The sequence below is a fragment of the Homo sapiens genome, chromosome 14, assembly GCF_000001405.40.
Source record: "Homo sapiens chromosome 14, GRCh38.p14 Primary Assembly".
Taxonomy (NCBI): Eukaryota; Metazoa; Chordata; class Mammalia; order Primates; family Hominidae; genus Homo; species Homo sapiens.
This window is the reverse complement of record NC_000014.9, coordinates 22,630,301-22,651,695: the sequence shown is the minus strand read 5'-3', so window position 1 is coordinate 22,651,695 and position 21,395 is coordinate 22,630,301. Positions and strand designations below refer to the sequence as shown.

The 21,395-nt window shown below is 47.6% G+C and overlaps 1 protein-coding gene across 1 annotated transcript, besides 2 other annotated features; it reads left to right on the top strand.

Annotated features, from left to right (window-relative positions):
- Positions 293-512: an enhancer, noted in NCBI's record as "active region_8137". NCBI's record gives its function as "activates an Ori minimal core promoter by ATAC-STARR-seq in GM12878 lymphoblastoid cells {active_cell/tissue: GM12878}" and the evidence as "EXISTENCE:reporter gene assay evidence [ECO:0000049][PMID:35858748]".
- Positions 7,344-20,767, top strand: OR6J1 (olfactory receptor family 6 subfamily J member 1). The gene is made up of 2 exons (NM_001348233.2): positions 7,344-7,598; positions 16,858-20,767. Exon 2 carries the CDS (start codon positions 16,885-16,887, stop codon positions 17,926-17,928), a length of 1,044 nt encoding a protein of 347 aa, NP_001335162.1. The 5' UTR covers positions 7,344-7,598; positions 16,858-16,884; the 3' UTR covers positions 17,929-20,767.
- Positions 14,446-15,157: an enhancer, noted in NCBI's record as "H3K27ac hESC enhancer chr14:23105272-23105983 (GRCh37/hg19 assembly coordinates)". NCBI's record gives its function as "activates a minimal SCP1, AML or CMV promoter by ChIP-STARR-seq in naive H9 embryonic stem cells {active_cell/tissue: H9 hESC(naive)}" and the evidence as "EXISTENCE:reporter gene assay evidence [ECO:0000049][PMID:30033119]".
- Positions 20,768-21,395: the final 628 nt, after the last annotated feature.

Sequence of the window (21,395 nt, the reverse complement as noted above, 5' to 3'; positions counted from 1 at the left end):
GACCAAAACACCTTTAAACACTTGCCCCTGGTCATGGGGATGGTGGGGGACAGTGGGCGTGACTGAGGTCCCACACTCATGTGTCCCTGGACCTGATAAATTTTGCATGCCTCACAGAGCTCAGGCTGCTTTCAGCTATTTTTCTTTTCTCACAGGGAAGAGATGAGGAATGACACTTGGAAGGTTCTTGCATTGCTACTCAATATTTGCAGTGACTTTGATACCAATTGCTCCTAAATGCCTCTCTGAATTCAGTCATTCAGCTGTGCTGCTTTTATTGAGCATCTTTGGTCTACCGTGTTCCAGGAGGGTGCTTGATGGGTGTTGTGGGCTGAGTCACCACAACAGCTGGTTTTGGTCACCTCATGGGTCTCTGCCACCACCACTGAAGGAGCCAGGGGCCACTGTTGCCATTGCCTCTTCTAGAAACCACAGGCCTGCTGTTAACTATGCTGTGAGTTCTGACAGGTATGGGACCTTAGAGTGAAATGAACTGTGTCTCAAAGTATTAGAGGCATTCATGGAAGAGGTCCACCAGTATCACATGCCCACATGCTCACTGATTCTCTACACTGCCAGGATCGCAGACATACAGTGTACTTAAGGAGCTGTGCCTGAACACAGCTCACCAGTTCAGAGTCCTTCTTCCCTTGTGGTGAGTTCCTTCTTAGAGGCTCCATAATCCTTTTCTGTAACCTAACCTCAGACTACGGGCACTTGCATACATCAGACCTATTTTTATGTTCTTGAATCTAAATGAGGATCAACGTTCCAGTCCTTTTTTTTTTTTTCCAGTCCGTTTTTACCCCTGGGAGAATCCTGATTTTTAACATAATTTGGTATATGCAAATAGATATAAAGGGACTCTTCTTATCTCTATTTGCTGTGGAAATAGAGGCACTAATGTAAGCAGATATTCTGAGGGGTGGGTTCAGGAAGCATGCCAGTGGTGCGAGGCTGGGGATGGATGTTTTCTGCTCTTCTCAGCCACACTGGAACCCCAGTTCTTGCCTAGCCAAAATATGCTGCTAGTCTTGCTTAGCAATAGACACTTAGCCTTAAAAATTTTTTATCCAATGACTTTTCCTTCGCTCTCATGTTTCATAACCTTTTCCTAGTTTCTGGCACTGCTGACATACCTACGTCTTGGATTTCTCCTCCCCTGCTTGCTAATCCTGTACCACTGGCTTTCTGTTGGTTTGCTTTCTCACTACTCTTTCTCTTGTTCCCAGTGGTGACTCCTTCTCCTGCCTTTTAACTGAAGGCTTTCACCGAGGCTCTATTCCCATTTTCTGAGATGAGGGCTCACTATGTTGCCCAGGCTGGTCTCAAACTCCTGGGCTCAAGGGATCCTCCGGGCACAGTCTCCTCAGTAGCTGGGATAACAGGCATGAACCACAGCACCCGGCCCTTTTTTTCCTTTTCTACATAGACTTCTCCAGAGTATTAGGTTTCCTATCTATTTGCTTACTTACTCACCCACTCCTTATTCACTTTTTTATTGAGTTTCTCTCATGTCTTTGTTATGATATTGGGCGTAGGGAATACCACGAAGAATAAAACCTAGTTTCTACCTTCAGGGAGTCATATAAATGGATAAGGCATAGCCTGAGCCAGTACCTGGCTCTTTCTACTCATAGTCTGGTGGTACTCATTGCCCTGTATTGAAAGGCTAAGTCTTGATTTTAATCTCACATCTTCCATGAATCCTGTGCCTGTACCACTAGCTTTCATTGATTTTCTTCTCTATACTGCTCTGGTCAAGAAAGCTGGAGTTTTTGCCTTCAAAGTTTTGTTACCTTGGGTGATTCATTTGACCTGTGTTAGACTTAACACCCTTCTGTGACATGAGGAGGTTATAGAACTAGGGTCCTTCCATCTTCAAAATTCTATTCCTATGATCATATACAATTGTGGGGAGGGGGAGATGGCTAATATAAAACATCAATTATATAGTGGAACTAGTACTTAAAAAAAAACCAACTTATGAATGACATCCTCATGAGAGTTGCTAGTACATCATAAAATTGTTGGTTGGGCCTAAAACATATTCATCCTTGTCGCCTATTATAATTAGCCAGTTGCCAGACCCATTACCATGCTCAAGTAAGGGAAGGCAGACATGAGAGTGGCTGGAGTTAAAGCAGAATAAGGTTGACAGCCTTAAACTTTCTGGAAGTATTGTCCTTGTACAGAAATTGTCCAAAGGTCATTGACCTTTAAAGTGAATTTTTGCCTTAATCTATAAATTTATAAATGTCATTTATGTTAAATAAATTTCTGTAGAGCAAAAGTTTGTTTGGATCTTAAAAATAACTTTCTGATTAGAAATGTGATGTATGAACACTATTTTCTTACTCATTGATACTTTGAATTTAAAAAACAGAGGCTTACTCAAGCTAGTTGACTAAAGTCTTGTGTGTATGTGAGTGTGTGTGTGTATGTGTAAGATTGTAGAAAGAATACATCAGGCAGTCTCTCATGGGCATCCAAGAGTAGGAACAAGGCACACAGGGATTGGAACAAGAAAGTCAGCAGCTCAGGCTGCCACCATCCTTTCCGGTGGGCCCGTGTTCCCTCAGTCATTACTTGTCTCTGAGTCTAAGCTACTGTTACACTTCTCTTTGAAACAAGGTCTCTACTATCACTGATGGTTTATTTGCTCCCCTATGACTTCAGCTTAGGAATCACTTTGGTTTGCTATGGCACCTACTCCAGCCCCAACTCTACACAACTTTTCAGAAAAGTACCCACCAGCGTCTTACTAATTAGTCTCTGTGTTTGTTAGAGCTCTTATGACTGCAGAAGACCATAATTCAAATGAACTTAAGAAAAACGGAGGATTTTTTGGCTTGTACAATCAGAAAGGATATTGTTGGCAGGCCTCAGGCATGACTGATCCAGTCATACACAACAGTGTCCAAATTCTATCTCTGTCTCTTAGCTGCATTTCCATTGGTGTGTTGTCCTCATGAATCCAGACAGCAGAAAGGCTCTCTCCGTGCAACAGTGGAAGGGTGAGGCTGGGTGTAGATCTACTGGCAGCTCAGGGTTACATCATCACAGCTTTTGAGCCCAGAGGAGAGAGCTTTTCCTAACTCTGCTCCAACATATGGATTCTAAAGGAGGGATTCCTGGCCTGCCTTGGGTTGGATGGTCACTCTTTGGATCAGTCACTGTGGTTGGGTGATGGATATTATAATAGATCGTGTTCCCTTTCATGAACTTTGGCTTTATATTGTGATATTATATAGTCCCATTAGAATCACATGGTTTGTGTAATGGAGAAGGAGCTGCTTCCCAAAAGGGAATGAGGTAGTGGTTAATAGAAGAAAATAAGAAAGAATGTTTAAAACAACAGGTGTCTATCATAGTTTCTGTGCCTCTTGGTTCAATTTCTTGAGGAAATCTGCTGCATTTATCCCCACCTTTGGCTTAGTTTCTCCTGGGTTGTTTGCCTACCTGTGACCCAATCGGATGGGTGGCCAACTCATATGTAGGAACACTGCAGTTAGGGCTCTGGGTGGGGAACACAATGATTGACCTATCTACCACAATAATATAAAAATAAGAAAGAATAGGCCAGGCGCGGTGGCTCACGCCTATAATCCCAGCACTTTGGGAGGCTGAGGTGGGCAGATCACGAGGTCAGGAGATCAAGACCATCCTGGCTAACACGGTGAAACCCCGTCTCTACTAAAAATACAAAAAATTAGCTGGGGGTGGTGGCGGGCGCCTGTAGTCCCAGCTACTCGGGAGGCTGAGGCAGAAGAATGGCGTGAACCCGGGAGGCGGAGCTTGCAGTGAGCCGAGATCGCGCCACTGCACTCCAGCCTGGGCGAAAGAGCAAGACTCTGTCTCAAAAAAAAAAAAAAAAAAAAAAAAAAGAAAGAATAGATCCCGGCATGCAGAAATAACCACAATTAATATTTTAGTTAATATACTTATATTCTTTTATCTATGCATTAATATATGTCTTTAAAAAATGGAATCAGCTGGGTATGGTGGCTCACACCTGTAATCCCAGCACTTTGGGAGGCAGAGGCGGGTGGATCACTTGAGGTCAGGAGTTTGAGACCAGCCTGGCCAAATGGCTAAACCTCCTCTCTACTAAAAATACAAAAGTTAGCTGGGCATGGTGGTGCATGCCTGTGCTCCCAGCAACTCAAGAGTCTGATGCATGAGAATCACTTGACCCTGGGAGGCAGAGGTTGCAGTGAGCTGAGATGGCACCACTGCACTCCAGCCTGGGTGACAGAACGACACTTGGTCTCAAAAAAAAGAGAGGCTGGGCGCGGTGGCTCACACCTGTAATCCCAGCACTTTGGGAGGCCAAGGTGGGTGCATTATCTGAGGTTGGGAGTTCGAGACCAGTTCTCCAGAGATGGAGAACCCTGTCTCTACTAAAAATACAAAATTAGTCAGGCATGGTGGCACATGCCCGTAATTCCACTACTCGGGAGGCTGAGGCAGAAGAATCACTTGAACCCAGGTGGCAGAGCCTGCGGTGAGCCGTGATCATGCCATTGCACTCCAGCCTGGGCAACAAGAATTAAACTCTGTCTCAAAAAAAAAAAAAAAAAGGATGATGTCATTTATACTATTTTGCAACACTCTTTTTACTTCATTATCTATTCTTCTACAATGTTTGTGACTTGAACTAGGGTAATGGGGATGGTGATAAGTGGTTGGATTTGACATATATATAAAGGTAGAGCCAGTGGGATTTGCTAATGAATTGGGTATGAGATGTGAGAAAAAGAAATTGCTGAAATTGTTAGATACTATTGCCTGTTCATGGGGGTATATGATGTGAGATTGAAATTAGAAGCTTTTTGGACTAAAATTCATATATACTGAGCAACTTTTGCTTTTCCAGTTAGGCATTATGGGGATTCAAAAATAATTTTATGAAAAAAATCCCTGTTCCCAAGGAACTTAAAAATCTGCCCAGAGGCTAAATAACCACAAATGAAATGATGAAATATATGGCAATAAAAATGAGTCACACACCACAACATGATTGAATTTCAAAACTATAAGGTTGAGAAAAAGATGTCAGACACAAAACAAGACCTATTAGATGATTTCATTTATATGAATTTCCAAAACAGGCAAAACTAATCCATGGTGTTAGAAATCAAGATAATGGTTACAGCTGGGATGTGGGGAGGGAGCTTGAGAAGGATTTCTGGGGTGCTAGTACCATTCTGTTTCTTCACCAGGGTGGTGGTTACATGAATGTGTTCACTTTATTGATAATTCATTGAGCTTATGATTTGTATACTTTTCTGTACATGTGTTATATTTAAATTAAAAAAGGTTAAAAACACTCCAGTTCTACACTGTGGATTCCTGATTCCAAGTGCAAGAAAAGGATATCTAAAGAGGGAGAACCTAGCTTAGGCTAGGAAAAGGGACAAGAGTAGGGCCTAGAGACTAGGCGGTGGAGAAGATGGTCCCAATGGTAGGACACTTGGGGCCCGAGTGTGCAGTAAGAAAGTGAGGGCCAGCGTGGGGCACAGTGAATAGAGTGGCTCAACCGAAGTAAAAGATGCGCAAGGTGATGTGTAAGACAGGAGCTGAGTCTGGGCGGTAATTCAAGGGAGACTGGGATTAGGGGGTCTTGAGTGCCAGGCTATGCAGTGTGGGACCTTTTGTTTCACATAGTGCAAGGTTACTGAAGCTTTGGCATATTGATCACAGTGTATTAGGATGTTGAAGAGGAGGGTCCTGGGTAAATGGAGTGGTAGGGATGGATGGAACTGTCACAGTGGGGCTGGAGAGGGGGTGGATGGAGGACTGTATGCTGTGAGGCTCTCTGAGATAGGCCTGGGGGTGTTGATCTTGGCTAGTGTTCTGTTCCCAGTTCTTGTTAGTGTAGATGTTTAGGTTTGCATCCTTTCCTAAGTGGGCCTCAGGGGCATCAGACTCAGGCTTGGTGTTCAGGGACAGCTTCGTAATGTGCCCCTGAGGAGTGCCCCATGTTTGGAGGTTTCTCAGAAAGTGCATGCTCTCACCTGAGCCAATCCCACCCCAACCCTCCCAAGTGGGGTCCAAACATGGGACCCTTCTAGAGTATGCCCCCTTCAGCCCTGACAGTGCAGAGTCTGTTTGCAGCAACGCAAGCCTCAGCGCCCAGCACGGAAGCCTGGGGCAGCTGTGTGGGCAGGATATGCTGGGGGCCAGCCCCCTCTACCTTATTTAGGCAAATGTGAGTATTTCTGAGTCCTCCCGCTGAATCCCTTCCAGCTTACTGACTCCTCTGTAGAGTGCAGATGGTGGAGGACAGGAAGTAGTTTCTTCATTTCCAGGAATCCTGGGCAACCGAAATTCCCATGTAGAGAAGCATCTTCCCTTTGTCTTCACACTTTGTAGCCAACCAGATATGCTGTCCAAGGGGAGAATAGTTGATTAAGGCAGAAGCATGGGCCTGATGAGATGTATTCCAGAGCCAGAAGGGACAGTATTCTTCCCTCTAGGGTGGGATGATCAATATCTCAGTAGGGACAAGGAAGATAAGGTTTGTTCTTTTCCAGTATTGCAGAATAGGAGGGGTTCTAGAAAATAAAGCAATATGGTGTTTTATGATTTCACACATCATATGAATTATCATACATTTGTTCTTCACGATCCTTGGCAATGATCGATTATCATATGAGTTATCTTATTTTCCGTTTTGTGCTTCTCAACCTCATGAGGAAGAGGAGGAAAAGAGCATTACCGCTGTTTGTCACATGAGGATTCATTTGCAGATAGTATGAAAATGGAGGCAATTTTTCCAGTCTCAAGAATGGTAAAAGGCACAGGTGGGACTTGAACCCAGACTCTTGGCTTCAAGTCCAGAGTTTTCTCATGCACCAGCTACCCCTCAACAGGATTTGACTATCCTGCAGTAACCCTAGAGGAAGTTTAGTCCTTGGGACGCTTGGCCTGCCAGTCTCTGAAAAAAATATGATGGGGATGGTGGTGGTGGTAGTGCACGTTGGGTTGAGGGGACAGAGGAAGAAGCAGGTTGATGGCTGTTGTCCATCAGGTAACACAGTGTTTCTTTTCCCATTTTCTCTGGAATCAAGAAGCACCCAGAAGACTGGGCTGAGCAGAAGACTGGAGAGGGTGCAGGAAAGATGGTAGCAGGAGAGGAGAATAAAGCACCATCCAGGAGCTTAGTGGAGAGTGCCCCTTTTCTCTCCCCAACTGGATCAGATTGTGTAGACAGTGTGGGAGGTGCAGCTGGTCAATGCTTAACCGAAGGTGATTTCCTCACACACTCAGGATTAGGGCAAGAGGATTTGTAGACCTCTCTATGCTGGAATGGATGTCATACCTTGTAACTTCCTCAGCAGTGTAAAAATCCAACATGTACCTTCCAGCTGTCTACAACACAAGTGCATGCTCGTCGGACAAGAGGTCACAGCTAAGGCAACAATCCACATGAGTTGGGAAGGGCTCATTTCACCTGTCAAACACTGCTGCTCTCATGTGGAATGCACTGTGGCTTTTTGGTCAAGATAATTACCGTGGAAGATCCTAGGTGGCAGCAAATCCCAGGTGAACAGACTGAGCCGTGGAGGTGGCATAAGGCAACCCTAGCCGAGGTGAGTGCAGACCAATCGTTTGGCATTTGGGGGCTGGCTGGGAGCAGCTGTTCCTGTTATAATCTCAGGTGTGTATCTTTGCCTTCATTAAGCTTCTTAATATTTCTGATGTGAGGAAATGATTTTCCAGTGGGTGCAGTTGCACCTTATGCAAAGATGTATTTTGAGAGTTAAATGAATTAAGTCTTGATCCCTCATCCTACCATTTCCAGATTTGGTGACCAAGTCCAAATTCATCCTCCATACTATTCTTCTAGATTTTACAGACTGTGCATATATCTACATTTAGTAACTGCTGTCTCTCTCTCTCTCTCTCTCTCTCTCTCTCTCTCTGTGTGTGTGTGTGTGTGTGTGTGTGTGTGTGTGTGTGTGTGTGTGTGTGTTTCTGCCATGCCAGGGGTCAGGGCTTCTTCTTGGGGCTGTGGCCTTTTCTCCTGCTACATTGGTTCTTTAAGATCCTTGGCAATGATCCATGCTATAACATAGATGAACCTTTACAAATATTATAGTAAGTGGCCTGCACCTGTAATCTCAGCACTTTGGGATGCTAAGACAGGAAGATCGCTTGAGCCCAGGAGTTCGAGACCAGCCTGGGCAATATGGCAAAACCCCTATCACTACAAAAAATACAAAAATTGGCCGGGCATGGTGGTGTGTGCCTGTAGTCCCAGTTACTTGGGAGTCTGAGGTGGGAGGATCACTTGAGCCTGGGAGGTCGAGGATGTAGTGAGTTATGATTGCACCACTGCACTCCAGCCTGGGTGACAGAGTGAGACCCTGTCTCAAAAAATAAAAAAAGTAAAATTATTTTCTAATTAAAAAAAAAATTAGGCTAGGCACGGTGGCTCACGCCTGTAATCCCAGCACTTTGGGAGGCCGAGGTGGATGGATCACTTGAAGTCAGGAGTTCGAGACCAGCCTGGCCAACATGGGGAAACCCTGTCTCTACTAAAAATACAAAAATCTGCTGGGCGTGGTGGCAGACGCCTGTAATCCCAGCTACTTGGGAGGCTGAGGCTGGAGAATCGCTTGAACCGGGGAGGCGGAGGTTGCAGTGACCAGAGATTGCACCATTGCACTCCAGCCTGGGTGACAAGAGTAAAACTCCATCTCAAAAAAAAAAAAAAATTATCCAGGTGTGATGGTGTGCACCTGTAGTCCTAGCTACTTGGGAGGCTGAGGCAGGAGGATCACTTGAGCCCAGGAGTTTGGGGCTGCAGTGAGCTATCTTCATGCCACTGCACTACAGCCTCACTGACAGAGCAGGACCCTGTCTCTAAAAAAAATTTAAAAATAAAAATAAAGAAAATATTATAGTAAGTGAAAGAAGCTAGATACAAAGGACCACATATGGTATGATTCATTTATATGAAATGTCCAGAATAGGCAAATCCATAGTCAGAAAGTAGAAAAATAGTTTCCAGGGAATGGAGGAGGGATCATTAAAATATCCTTAAATCTGCCAGGCATGGTGGCTTGTCCCTGTAATCCCAGCACTTTGGGAGGTCAAGGCGGGAAGATCATGAGGTCAGGAGTTGGAGACCAGCCTGACCAACACGGTGAAACCTCATCTCTACTACAAATACAAAAATTAGCTGGGCATGGTGGCACACGCCTGTAATCCCAGCTTACTCAGGAGGCTGAGGCAGGAGAATCGCTTGAACCCTGGAGGTGGAGGTTGCAGTGAGCTGAGCTCGTGCCACTGCACTCCAGCCTGGGTGACAGAGCGAGACTCCATCTCAAATATATATATATATATATATATATATATATATATATATATATTCTTAAGTTGATTGTGGTGATGGACACACAGTTTTGTGAATACACTAAAAGCTATTGAATTGTATATTTTAAATGGGTGGAATGTATGGTACTTGAGTTATATATCAATAAAGCTGTTAAGAAAGAAAAGATCCTTGGCAATGCAAATGTGGTGAGTTGTCTGGAGAGACTGTCCATGTGCCAAGGCTATAGGAAGGTAGGGCAGGTCGTGAGGACAGGTTCTGTGCAGGAGTGGCTGATGTTCTGACTCAGCTTAGATGGGCAGAGGTCAACTCAGTCCTCGGGATTTCTGCAGTCCTCTTCCTTTACTAGATTATTCTTGTTTTTCCTAGTCCAATCCATATTCTTCTTAGTCACTGGTAATTACGTGGCCTCTGCTATCCAGAGTCCTTCCTAGGTATAGAAGCCCTATTTGACCTTGTCCCTGGAATCTATCAGTTTTCCTGGTAGTTGGTTTGCTTTCCAGACTAATGGCCCAGGACAAATATCCATGAAAAAACTTTGCCGTCCCTTAATTTTTCCTCTGTTTCTGTGATTTTTCTGAAATCAGGTTTCTTCACATCTCTTTTAGACTGAAAGCTGTGCGAGGGCATGCAATTTTTTTTACCATCTCTGCAACCTTTCATCAATCGCAGGCCCCACAACATAGTTGGCACTCAATATGTGTTTGCTAATATACATTTTCAATCCAACTATGTATATATATATATATCCTTTTAGAATAATTTTCTTTCCTTCTTTCTTTTTTCTTTTTCTTTATTTCTTCCTTCCTTCTTTCTTTCCTTCTTTCTTCCCTCCCTCCTTTCTTTCCTCCCTCCCTCCTTCCTTCCTTCCTTTCTTTCTTTTTCTTTCTTTCTTTCTTTCTCTCTCTTTCATTCTTTCTTTCTTTCTCTTCCTTCCTTCCATCCTTCCTTTCTCTCTCTCTCTCTTTCTTTCTTCTCTCCCCCCTTTCTTTCTTTCTTCCCTCCCTCCCTCCTTTCTTCCTTCCTTCCTCTCTCTCTCTTTCCTCTCTGTCTCTCTTTCTTCTCTTTCTTCCTTCCTTCCTTTCTTTCTTTCTTTCTTTCTTTCTTTCTTTCTTTCTTTCTTTCTTTCTTTCTTTCTTATCTTTCTCTCCCTCTCTGTCTCTCTTTCTCTCTCTCTCTCTTTCTTTCTTCAGAGTCTCACTCTGTCACCTAGGCTGGAGTGCAGTGCTGTGTGATCATGGCTCACTGAAGCTCCTGGGCTCAGGTGATTCTCCCACCTTTGCTTCACAAGTAGCTGGGACAACAGCTGCATGGCACCATGCCTGGCTAATTTTTGTATTTTTCATAGAGGCAGAGTTTCACCATGTTGCCCAGGCTAGTCTCAAACTCCTGACCTTAAGTCATCCTCCCACCTCGGCCTTCCATAGTGCTGGGATTACACGCGTTAGCCACCATGCCCAGCTTAACTTCTTTTATATAAAAGGAATATTTGTTCATTGTAAAAAAAAATACTGAAAATATCAAGAAGAGGCTGGGTGTGGTGGCTCATGCCTATGATCCCAACACTTTGGGAAGTAGAGGCAGGAGAATCGCTTGAGCCCAGGAGTTTGAGACCAGCCTGGGCAACATAGTGAGATCCCATAGCTACGAAAAGTAATGGCAAAACCGCAATTACTTTTGCAACAACCTAATAGCTGGGCATGGTGGCATGCACCTGTGATCCCAGATTCTTGGGAGGCTGAGGTGGGAGGATCACTTGATCCAGGGAGGCTGAGTCTGAAGTGGGCTGTATGCTACCACTACTGCACTCCAGCCTGGGTGACAGAGTAAGACTTTGTCTCCAAAAAAAAAAAAAAAAAAAAAATACATTCTCACTGTTGGTTGAGCTGAAGTTTATTCATTTCTTTATTGTATATTCAACTCTGTGAGCATATCATGATTTATTCTCCTGTCTTTGGACACTGTTCCCTCCTTCTCTTTTTTCCCCCTTCCTTCCTCCTTTCCTCCCATCCCCTCTACCCTCCTCTCCTCTCCTCCCCTCTCCTCCCCTCCCTTCCCCCTTTCCTTCCTTCCTTCCTTCCTTCCTTCCTTGCTTCCTTCCTTCCTTCCATCCTTCCTTCCCTCCCTCCCTCCCTCCCTCCCTCTCTCTTTTCCCTCCCTCCCCCTCTCCCCCTTCCCTATACATATTCTTGTTTGTCTCCTGGGGCATATGTGCAAGTTTCTCTACCTAGGAGTAGAATTATTGGGTCACAGAGTATGTGAATGTTCATCTTTACAAGGTAATGACAAATTATTTTCCAAAGCAATTATATAAATTTATGCTCCCACTAGCAGTGTAAATTTTTTTTTTTTTTAAATTTATTTTTTTATTGATAATTCTTGGGTGTTTCTCACAGAGGAGGATTTGGCAGGGTCATGGGACAATAGTGGAGGGAAGGTCAGCAGATAAACAAGTGAACAAAGGTCTCTGGTTTTCCTAGGCAGAGGACCCTGCGGCCTTCCGCAGTGTTTGTGTCCCTGATTACTTGAGATTAGGGAGTGGTGATGACTCTTAAGGAGCATGCTGCCTTCAAGCATCTGTTTAACAAAGCACATCTTGCACCGCCCTTAATCCATTTAACCCTGAGTGGACACAGCACATGTTTCAGAGAGCACCGGGTTGGGGGTAAGGTCACAGATCAACAGGATCCCAAGGCAGAGGAATTTTTCTTAGTACAGAACAAAATGAAAAGTCTCCCATGTCTACTTCCTTCTACACAGACACGGCAACCATCCGATTTCTCAATCTTTTCCCCACCTTTCCCGCCTTTCTATTCCACAAAGCCGCCATTGTCATCCTGACCCGTTCTCAATGAGCTGTTGGGCACACCTCCCAGACGGGGTGGTGGCCGGGCAGAGGGGCTCCTCACTTCCCAGTAGGGGCGGCCGGGCAGAGGCGCCCCTCACCTCCCGGACGGGGCGGCTGGCCGGGCGGGGGGCTGACCCCCCCATCTCCCTCCCGGACGGGGTGGCTGGCCGGGCAGAGGGGCTCCTCACTTCCCAGTAGGGGCGGCCGGGCAGAGGCGCCCCTCACCTCCCGGACGGGGCGGCTGGCCTGGCGGGGGGCTGACCCCCCACCACCTCCCTCCCGGACGGGGTGGCTGCCGGGCGGAGACGCTCCTCACTTCCCAGATGGGGTGGCTGCCGGGCGGAGAGGCTCCTCACTTCTCAGACGGGGCAGCTGCCGGGCGGAGGGGCTCCTCACTTCTCAGATGGGGTGGTTGCCAGGCAGAGGGTCTCCTCACTTCTCAGACGGGGCGGCCGGGCAGAGACGCTCCTCACCTCCCAGACGGGGTCTCGGCCGGGCAGAGGCGCTCCTCACATCCCAGATGGGGCGGCGGGGCAGAGGCGCTCCCCACATCTCAGACGATGGGCGGCCGGGCAGAGACGCTCCTCACTTCCTAGATGTGATGGCGGCTGGGAAGAGGCGCTCCTCACTTCCTAGATGGGATGGCGGCCGGGCGGAGACGCTCCTCACTTTCCAGACTGGGCAGCCAGGCAGAGGGGCTCCTCACCTAGCAGTGTAAATTTTTTAAGTCTCCACATCCTCGTCAACACTTGTTATTGTCATATTTTTGCTTCTTGACAATATAGTGGGTATAAAATGGTATCTTGCTAGTGTCTTAATTTTTTTTATTTTTTTTTTATTTTTATTTTTTTTATTGATCATTCTTGGGTGTTTCTCGCAGAGGGGGATTTGGCAGGGTCATAGGACAATAGTGGAGGGAAGGTCAGCAGATAAACAAGTGAACAAAGGTCTCTGGTTTTCCTAGGCAGAGGACCCTGCGGCCTTCCGCAGTGTTTGTGTCCCTGGGTACTTAAGATTAGGGAGTGGTGATGACTCTTAACGAGCATGCTGCCTTCAAGCATCTGTTTAACAAAGCACATCTTGCACCGCCCTTAATCCATTTAACCCTGAGTGGACACAGCACATGTTTCAGAGAGCACAGGGTTGGGGATAAGGTCACAGATCAACAGGATCCCAAGGCAGAGGAATTTTTCTTAGTACAGAACAAAATGAAAAGTCTCCCATGTCTACTTCTATCCACACAGACCCGGCAACCATCTGATTTCTCAATTTTTTCCCCACCCTTCCCGCCTTTCTATTCCACAAAACCGCCATTGTCATCATGGCCCATCCCCAATGAGCCGCTGGGCACACCTCCCAGACGGGGTCGTGGCCGGGCAGAGGGGCTCCTCACTTCCCAGTAGGGGCGGCCGGGCAGAAGCGCCCCTCACCTCCCGGATGGGGCGGCTGGCCAGGCGGGGGGCTGACCCCCCCACCATCCTCCCGGACGGGGCGGCTGGCCAGGCAGAGGGGCTCCTCACTTCCCAGTAGGGGCGGCCGGGCAGAGGCCTCCCTCACCTCCCGGACGGGGCGGCCGGCCGGGCGGGGGCTGACCCCCCCACCTCCCTCCCGGACAGGGCGGCTGGCCGACCCCACCCCCCCCGCCTCCCTCCCGGACGGGGCGGCTGGCCGGGCAGAGGGGCTCCTCACTTCCCAGTAGGGGCGGCCGGGCAGAGGCGCCCCTCACCTCCCGAACGGGGCGGCTGGCCAGGCGGGGGGCTGATCCCCCCACCTCCCTCCCGGACGGGGCGGCTGGTCGGGCGGGGGGCTGACCCCCCCCACCTCCCTCCCGGACGGGGCAGCTGGCCGGGCGGGGGGCTGACCCCCCCACCTCCCTCCCGGATGGGGCGGCTGGCCAGGCGGGGGGCTGACCCCCCCACCTCCCTCCCGGACGGGGCGGCTGGCCGGGCAGGGGGCTGACCCCCCCTCCCCCCTCCCGGACGGGGCGGCTGGCCGGGCAGAGGGGCTCCTCACTTCCCAGTAGGGGCGGCCGGGCAGAGGCGCCCCTCACCTCCCGGACTGGGCGGCTGGCCGGGCGGGGGGCTGACCCCCCCACCTCCCTCCTGGACGGGGCGACTGGCCAGGCAGAGGGGCTCCTCACTTCCCAGTAGGGGCGGCCGGGCAGAGGAGCCCCTCACCTCCCGGATGGGGCAGCTGGCCGGGCGGGGGGCTGACCCCCCCCACCTCCCTCCCGGACGGGGTGGCTGCCGGGCGGAGACGCTCCTCACTTCCCAGACGGGGTGGCTGCCGGACGGAGGGGCTCCTCACTTCTCAGACGGGGCGGTTGCCAGGCAGAGGGTTTCCTCACTTCTCAGACAGGGCGGCCGGGCAGAGACGCTCCTCACCTCTCAGACAGGGTTGCGGCCAGCAGAGGCGCTCCTCACATCCCAGACAGGGCGGCGGGGCAGAGGTGCTCCCCACATCTCAGACATGGGCGGCCGGGCAGAGACGCTCCTCACTTCCTAGATGGGAAGGCGGCCGGGAAGAGGCGCTCCTCGCTTCCTAGATGGGATGGCGGCCGGGCAGAGACGCTCCTCACTTTCCAGACTGGGCAGCCAGGCAGAGAGGCTCCTCATATCCCAGACGATGGGTGGCCAAGCAGAGACGCTCCTCACTTCCCAGACGGGGTGGCGGCTGGGCAGAGGCTGCAATCTCGGCACTTTGGGGGGCCAAGGCAGGCGGCTGGGAGGTGGAGGCTGTAGCGAGCCGAGATCACGCCACTGCACTCCAGCCTGGGCACCACTGAGCACTGAGTGAACGAGACTCCGTCCGCAATCCCGGCACCCCGGGAGGCTGAGGCTGGCGGATCACTCGTGGCTAGGAGCTGGAGACCAGCCCGGCCAACACAGCAAAACCCCGTCTCCACCAAAAAAAAAAAACGAAAACCAGTGAGGCGTGGCGGCGTGCGCCTGCAATCGCAGGCACTCAGCAGGCTGAGGCAGGAGAATCAGGCAGGGAGGCTGCAGTGAGCCGAGATGGCAGCAGCACCGTCCAGCCTTGGCTCGGCATCAGAGGGAGACCCTGGAGGGAGAGGGAGAGGGAGAGGGAGAGGGAGAGGGAGGGAGAGGGAGAGGGAGAGGGAGAGGGAGAGGGAGAGGGAGAGGGAGAGGGAGAGGGAGAGGGAGAGGGAGAGGGAGAGGGAGAGGGAGAGGGAGAGGGAGAGGGAGAGGGAGAGGGAGAGGGAGAGGGAGAGGGAGAGGGAGAGGGAGAGGGAGAGGGAGAGGGAGAGGGAGAGGGCGCTAGTGTCTTAATTTATATTTCCTTAATTACTAATGAGATCAAGCATCTTTTTGTACATTTATTTTTCCTCTTTAATGGAGTTCAGGTAGCATGTTTGGCCCATCTTTCTATTGGATTGCTTATCTATTTCTTACTGCTTTGTATGAATCAAAATGTTAATTACATGAGTACTAAAGTTTGTCCATTATCTGTGGCATAAATATGTTCTTCCTGTTTGTGATTTGCCTTTAACTTTATTTGAAGGCTCTTTTAATAAATAGAAATTCTTCATTTTAATGTAGCTTAATTTATTAATATTTTCTTTTCTGTTTAGCACTTTTTTGGGTCTTATTTAGTAGGTTCTTTTCTACTCTGAGGCCAAAAACAACATTCTTCTATCTTTTCTTCTAAAAGTTTTGATCTTTACACAAAAGTTTTTTGTCCATCTGGAGTGGATGTTAGTGTCTGATATGAGATTGGGAATCAATTTTACTTTTTCCCCTATGGACAAGCAGCAGTACCAGCTTCTTTCACTTCTGACACATATCACTGTTCCACATCTGTGTGGGTCTGTGTCTTGGCTCTGTATTTTGTTCCATTGGTCATTTTTATGTATATTTGTGCCAATGCCATCTTGCCTTAATCATTCCAATTTTATAAGTCTCAATATCTGCCAATGCAAGCTCCTTCCCTGACTTTCTTCTTCAGCAATGTCTTCTTGGCTACTCTAGGACCTTTGCTAATTTACATCTCTCCCCCAAAATGGCATCACAATGTCATTACAAGTTTGTAACTTGCTTTAAAAACACTTTTAAAACCTAATAATAATAAATACTTAAATAATGCTTAAAATAATGCTTTAAAACTTAATAATACATTTTGAATGTTTTGTCATTTATATGTTACTGTAAAATATAATTTTTAATGGCTACATAATGTGTTATTTCTTAAAGGTACCATAATTTGTTTATTTCATCTCCCATTTCTGGATATTAAAGTTGTTGCCAAATTTTCATTATTGTAAAAAATTCTGTGGTGAATATTCTTGTGGCAAAATCTTTTTAACATATCCATGACTACTTCCTCAGGATGGAAGTACAATTTCCAAATCTAAGAATTTGCTTAATTTTAAGGTTTTTGACACACATTGCTAAATTATCTTTTAGAAAGTTCATATGACCTATATGACAGCATAGGTCTCAGGACACCCTTGCTGACAGTGTACATTATTATTTTCAAAAACCTTGTCCATTTTGATAGGCAAATAATTGAAAGCCAAGCTAAACTTGCATTACACGTCTAGCTGGCAGTCATCATGTTCTATGTTCATATTTTTCTAGTGAGCAGCCATGGGGTTTCATCCACTGAACACTCTCTTAAGTGTTATCTCCCTTTGTTCTGTTAGGAGAATTGAGCCAGGCCCACCAGGCCCATGGGTAACTGGACTGCAGCGGTGACTGAGTTTGTTCTGCTGGGGTTTTCCCTGAGCAGGGAGGTGGAGCTGCTGCTCCTGGTGCTCCTGCTGCCCACGTTCCTGCTGACTCTTCTGGGGAACCTGCTCATCATCTCCACTGTGCTGTCCTGCTCCCGCCTCCACACCCCCATGTACTTCTTCTTGTGCAACCTCTCTATCCTGGACATCCTCTTCACCTCAGTCATCTCTCCAAAAGTGTTGGCCAACTTAGGATCTAGGGATAAAACCATCTCCTTTGCCGGATGTATCACCCAGTGCTATTTCTACTTTTTCTTGGGCACAGTTGAGTTCCTCCTGCTGACGGTCATGTCCTATGACCGTTATGCCACCATCTGCTGCCCCCTGCGGTACACCACCATCATGAGACCTTCTGTCTGCATTGGGACCGTTGTATTCTCTTGGGTGGGAGGCTTCCTGTCTGTGCTCTTTCCAACCATCCTCATCTCCCAGCTGCCCTTCTGTGGCTCCAATATCATTAACCACTTCTTCTGTGACAGTGGACCCTTGCTGGCCCTGGCCTGTGCAGACACCACTGCCATCGAGCTGATGGATTTTATGCTTTCTTCCATGGTCATCCTCTGCTGCATAGTCCTCGTGGCCTATTCCTATACGTACATCATCTTGACCATAGTGCGCATTCCTTCTGCAAGTGGAAGGAAGAAGGCCTTTAATACCTGTGCTTCCCACCTGACCATAGTCATCATTTCTAGTGGCATCACTGTGTTTATCTATGTGACTCCCTCCCAGAAAGAATATCTGGAGATCAACAAGATCCCTTTGGTTCTGAGCAGTGTGGTGACTCCATTCCTCAACCCCTTTATATATACTCTGAGGAATGACACAGTGCAGGGAGTCCTCAGGGATGTGTGGGTCAGGGTTCGAGGAGTTTTTGAAAAGAGGATGAGGGCAGTGCTGAGAAGCAGATTATCCTCCAACAAAGACCACCAAGGAAGGGCTTGCTCTTCTCCACCATGTGTCTATTCTGTAAAGCTCCAGTGTTAGAAAGAGAGGAGCTGCCTTAGTGAAAGAGTGAGCTAGCTAAGGAATTCTGAATAGTCTATAGTGGAAAGACTGACTGCGGAGACAGAGACTTGAACGCTGGCCTTGGTTTTCACTTTAATCTGTGACCGCAGCTGTGTCACCAGCCATTCTGACTCTCAGTACTCTCAGCTGAAGTGCAACAGGGCTGGACTTGATGATCTCTAAGCCCCATCCACACTGAATATTGTAAGAATGGAAGGGCCATGCAGCCTATTTCCTCCTAAAGTCCTAACATGTTTGGCCCCATTTCTTTATGGATCCCGAACACAACTGTTCTATCGGCTTGACACGAAGTCCTTCCTGAACTTCTCTGCACGGACCCTCTTTCTTTCCATCCTCTGCAGGATCTTTTTAGAAATAACCTTCATTATTCTCTAATCCACTATCATATCCATTTTTTTTTCGGGCATTTGCAATGATTGTGTTGGGTGCATGTCATCTGTGTTATTTAATAATATTGCTTTCTGTAATAGAACATGTTCATAATATCCAATATGCTCATGTCGTTATGTAAGACATGGCCCTGTTCCCCTAGCCACTAATGATTGATCCATGGATGGATAATCTGACTGAAGGCATAACCCATCACCTGCAGGGACACTTGCACACCTAAGAGACTGGCCAGTGACCTATGACCTGTGTGGCTTGGCTGGACCAGAGGAGCTGTGTAAACAGATACGACTTTTTTGAGAAATTGAAGCAAAAAACACAGAGATTATTCCACACAAGTGTGATGCTTCCCCTGGAAGCAGAAATAGGCTTGGTGGCTGGAGTGGCCACTTTGGGTGCCAGGTGCAAGCTGATGAATAATTAGAGGAAACCAGTCTGCCCCTCAGAGAGAATGCAGTTGATGTATAGAGAAAAACAGAGAAGAGAGAGATGACAGCCCACTCACAACACAAAGGCACAACACAAAGAGCCCTCTTCTCTCATGACTTCCTAGGGCTGGAGCTGGTAGAATTTTGATTCCTATTCCTGGATTTGATGTGTTTTGCCTGTACCTGTAAATGAAATCCCTTTTTATTGAGCTATCTTGAGAAGGTCTTAGATTCTTGTGACCAAAAAGCAGCTTGACTACAAAGTTCATTATCTCTCCACAAGGCATAGCTTCTCCCCTTTTCTGGCTCCATACACCTGGAAAGAATCTGTTTTGTTTTTGTTTTGAGACGGAGTCTCACTCTGTCGCCCAGGATGGAGTGCAGTGGTGCAATCTCAGCTCACTGCAACCTCCGCCTCCTGGGTTCAAGTGATTCTTCTGCCTCAGCCTCCTGAGTAGCTGGGACCACAGGCGCGTGCCACCATGCCTGGCTAATTTTTGTATTTTTAGTAGAGATGGGGCTTCACTGTGTTAGCCAGGATGGTCTCGATCTCCTGAACTCGTGATCTGCCCACATCGGCCTCCCAAAGTGCTGGGATTAGAGGCATGAGCCACTGCGCCCAGCCAAGAATCTGTTTTTAACTGCATTCCTAGTCTGAATTCTTGGTGCCCAAACACTGTCTGGGATGCTTACTTGGACCCACTCTGGGCCTGTGGTTCAGCTCAGTGCAAACCAGCTTTTCAATATCATCAGAATCTCTGAGGTTTAATTTCTTGTCTTGCTTGGCCGCCAGTGCTGCAGCATCCACTTTGCTAAATTAACCCCTATGCTCTGCGTGGAACTGGTCAGAAGGACACATGCATACCTAAGGAACTGCTGCAGAGTTCTGTGGACATAAATGAAGACTACTTAAATGAGCACAGATGCCACTTATTCAGAGCTAGCTATATCAGGGGAGTCAGCCACCATCACTTGCATTTGGCAGAGAGTCAAAGGCAGGCAGGGGAGTGGAAAGCTTCATAGTAGAAAAAAAGGGAAAGGCCCGAGTATTCCCTGACTGGAGGATTTTGGCATGGGGAAGCTGGAGGTGAGCTAACTAGTGTTGCGGGAAGTCAGGCACCCCAAACGGAGGGACCGGCTGAAGCCATGGCAGAAGAATGTGGATAGTGAAGATTTCATGGACACTTATCACTTCCCCAATGAATACCCTTGTGATTTCCTATGCCTGTCTTTAATCTCTTAATCCTGTCAGCTGAGGAAGATGTATGTCACCTCAGGACCATGTGATAATTGTGTTAACTGCACAAATTGTAGAGCATGTGTGTTTGAACAAATACGAAATCTGGGCACCTTGGAAAAAGAACAGGATAACAGCAATTGTTCAGGGAATAAGAGAGACAACCTTAAACTCTGACCGCTGGTGAGCCGGGGGGAACAGAGCCATATTTCTCTTCTTTCAAAAGCAAATGGGAGGAATATCACTGAATTCTTTTTCTCAGCAAGGAACATCCCTGGGAAAGAGAGTACGCGCCTGGGAGTGTAGTCCTATAGACGGCCCCCCTGGGCGTGCCCGTCTTTTATGGTCTGTAGACTGTAGGGGTCAAATAGACCCCAGTCTCCCATAGCGCTCCCAGGCTTATTAGGAAGAGGAAATTTCCACCTAATAAATTTTGGTCAGACTGGTTGCTCTCAAAACCCTGTCTCCTGATAAGATGTTATCAATGACAATGGTGCCCGAAACTTCATTAGCAATTTTAATTTCACCCTGGTCCTGTGGTCCTGTGATCTCGCCATGCCTCCCTTTGCCTTGTGATATTCTATTACTTTGTAAAGTACGTGACCTCTGTGACCCACACCTATTCGTACACTCCCTCCCCTTTTGAAAGTCCCTAATAAAAACTTGCTGGTTTTTGTGGCTTGGGGGGCATCATGGAACCTAGTGACATGTGATGTCTCCCCCGGCTGCCCAGCTTTAAAATTTCTCTCTTTTGTACTCTGTCCCTTTATTTCTCAAACCAGCCGATGCTTAGGGAAAATAGAAAAGAACCTAAGTGACTAATGGGGCAGGTTCTCTGATAAACTAGAAGCAGGACATCTTAGGGGATTGGTTTGGGAAGCATATTTGACTTTATGTGATTGGTCTTGAGTTTGAAAGAAGTGTGGAAGGGGAGGGGAGCTTCAGAAAACAGGAAAGTGAGCAGTCACGAACAAGTCTTGGCCATTCTGGGCCAAGTGCTTCAGAGGTTTGGTTGTGGTTTGGCTTCCCTTGAGGGTCCCTTCGGAGTTTCTGAGTCAGTGTTCTGTTGTTATATATGGTCTGGCTGTTGTCCACTTTTATATTCAGTCTCTCAGTTCTTACAACCTTGAAATTTCATGTAACATTTTTAAGTCTAAGCAGAAGGACAATCCTCCCAAAGTGGAAAACTAGATCCCATGAGAACAGATGATGAAAGGTGAGCTCAGGTAAACGGAGCGTTGTTGGGGATTTGCAGGCCAGGAATGGGAGCTGTAGAAACTGAGGATGTCTTGCATGTGCCAAAGACTCTGCTTCTTTGAGTGGACCCGAAGCCCCAAGATTTAGACTCTTTGGCTAGTAGGGCTTGTGAGGAC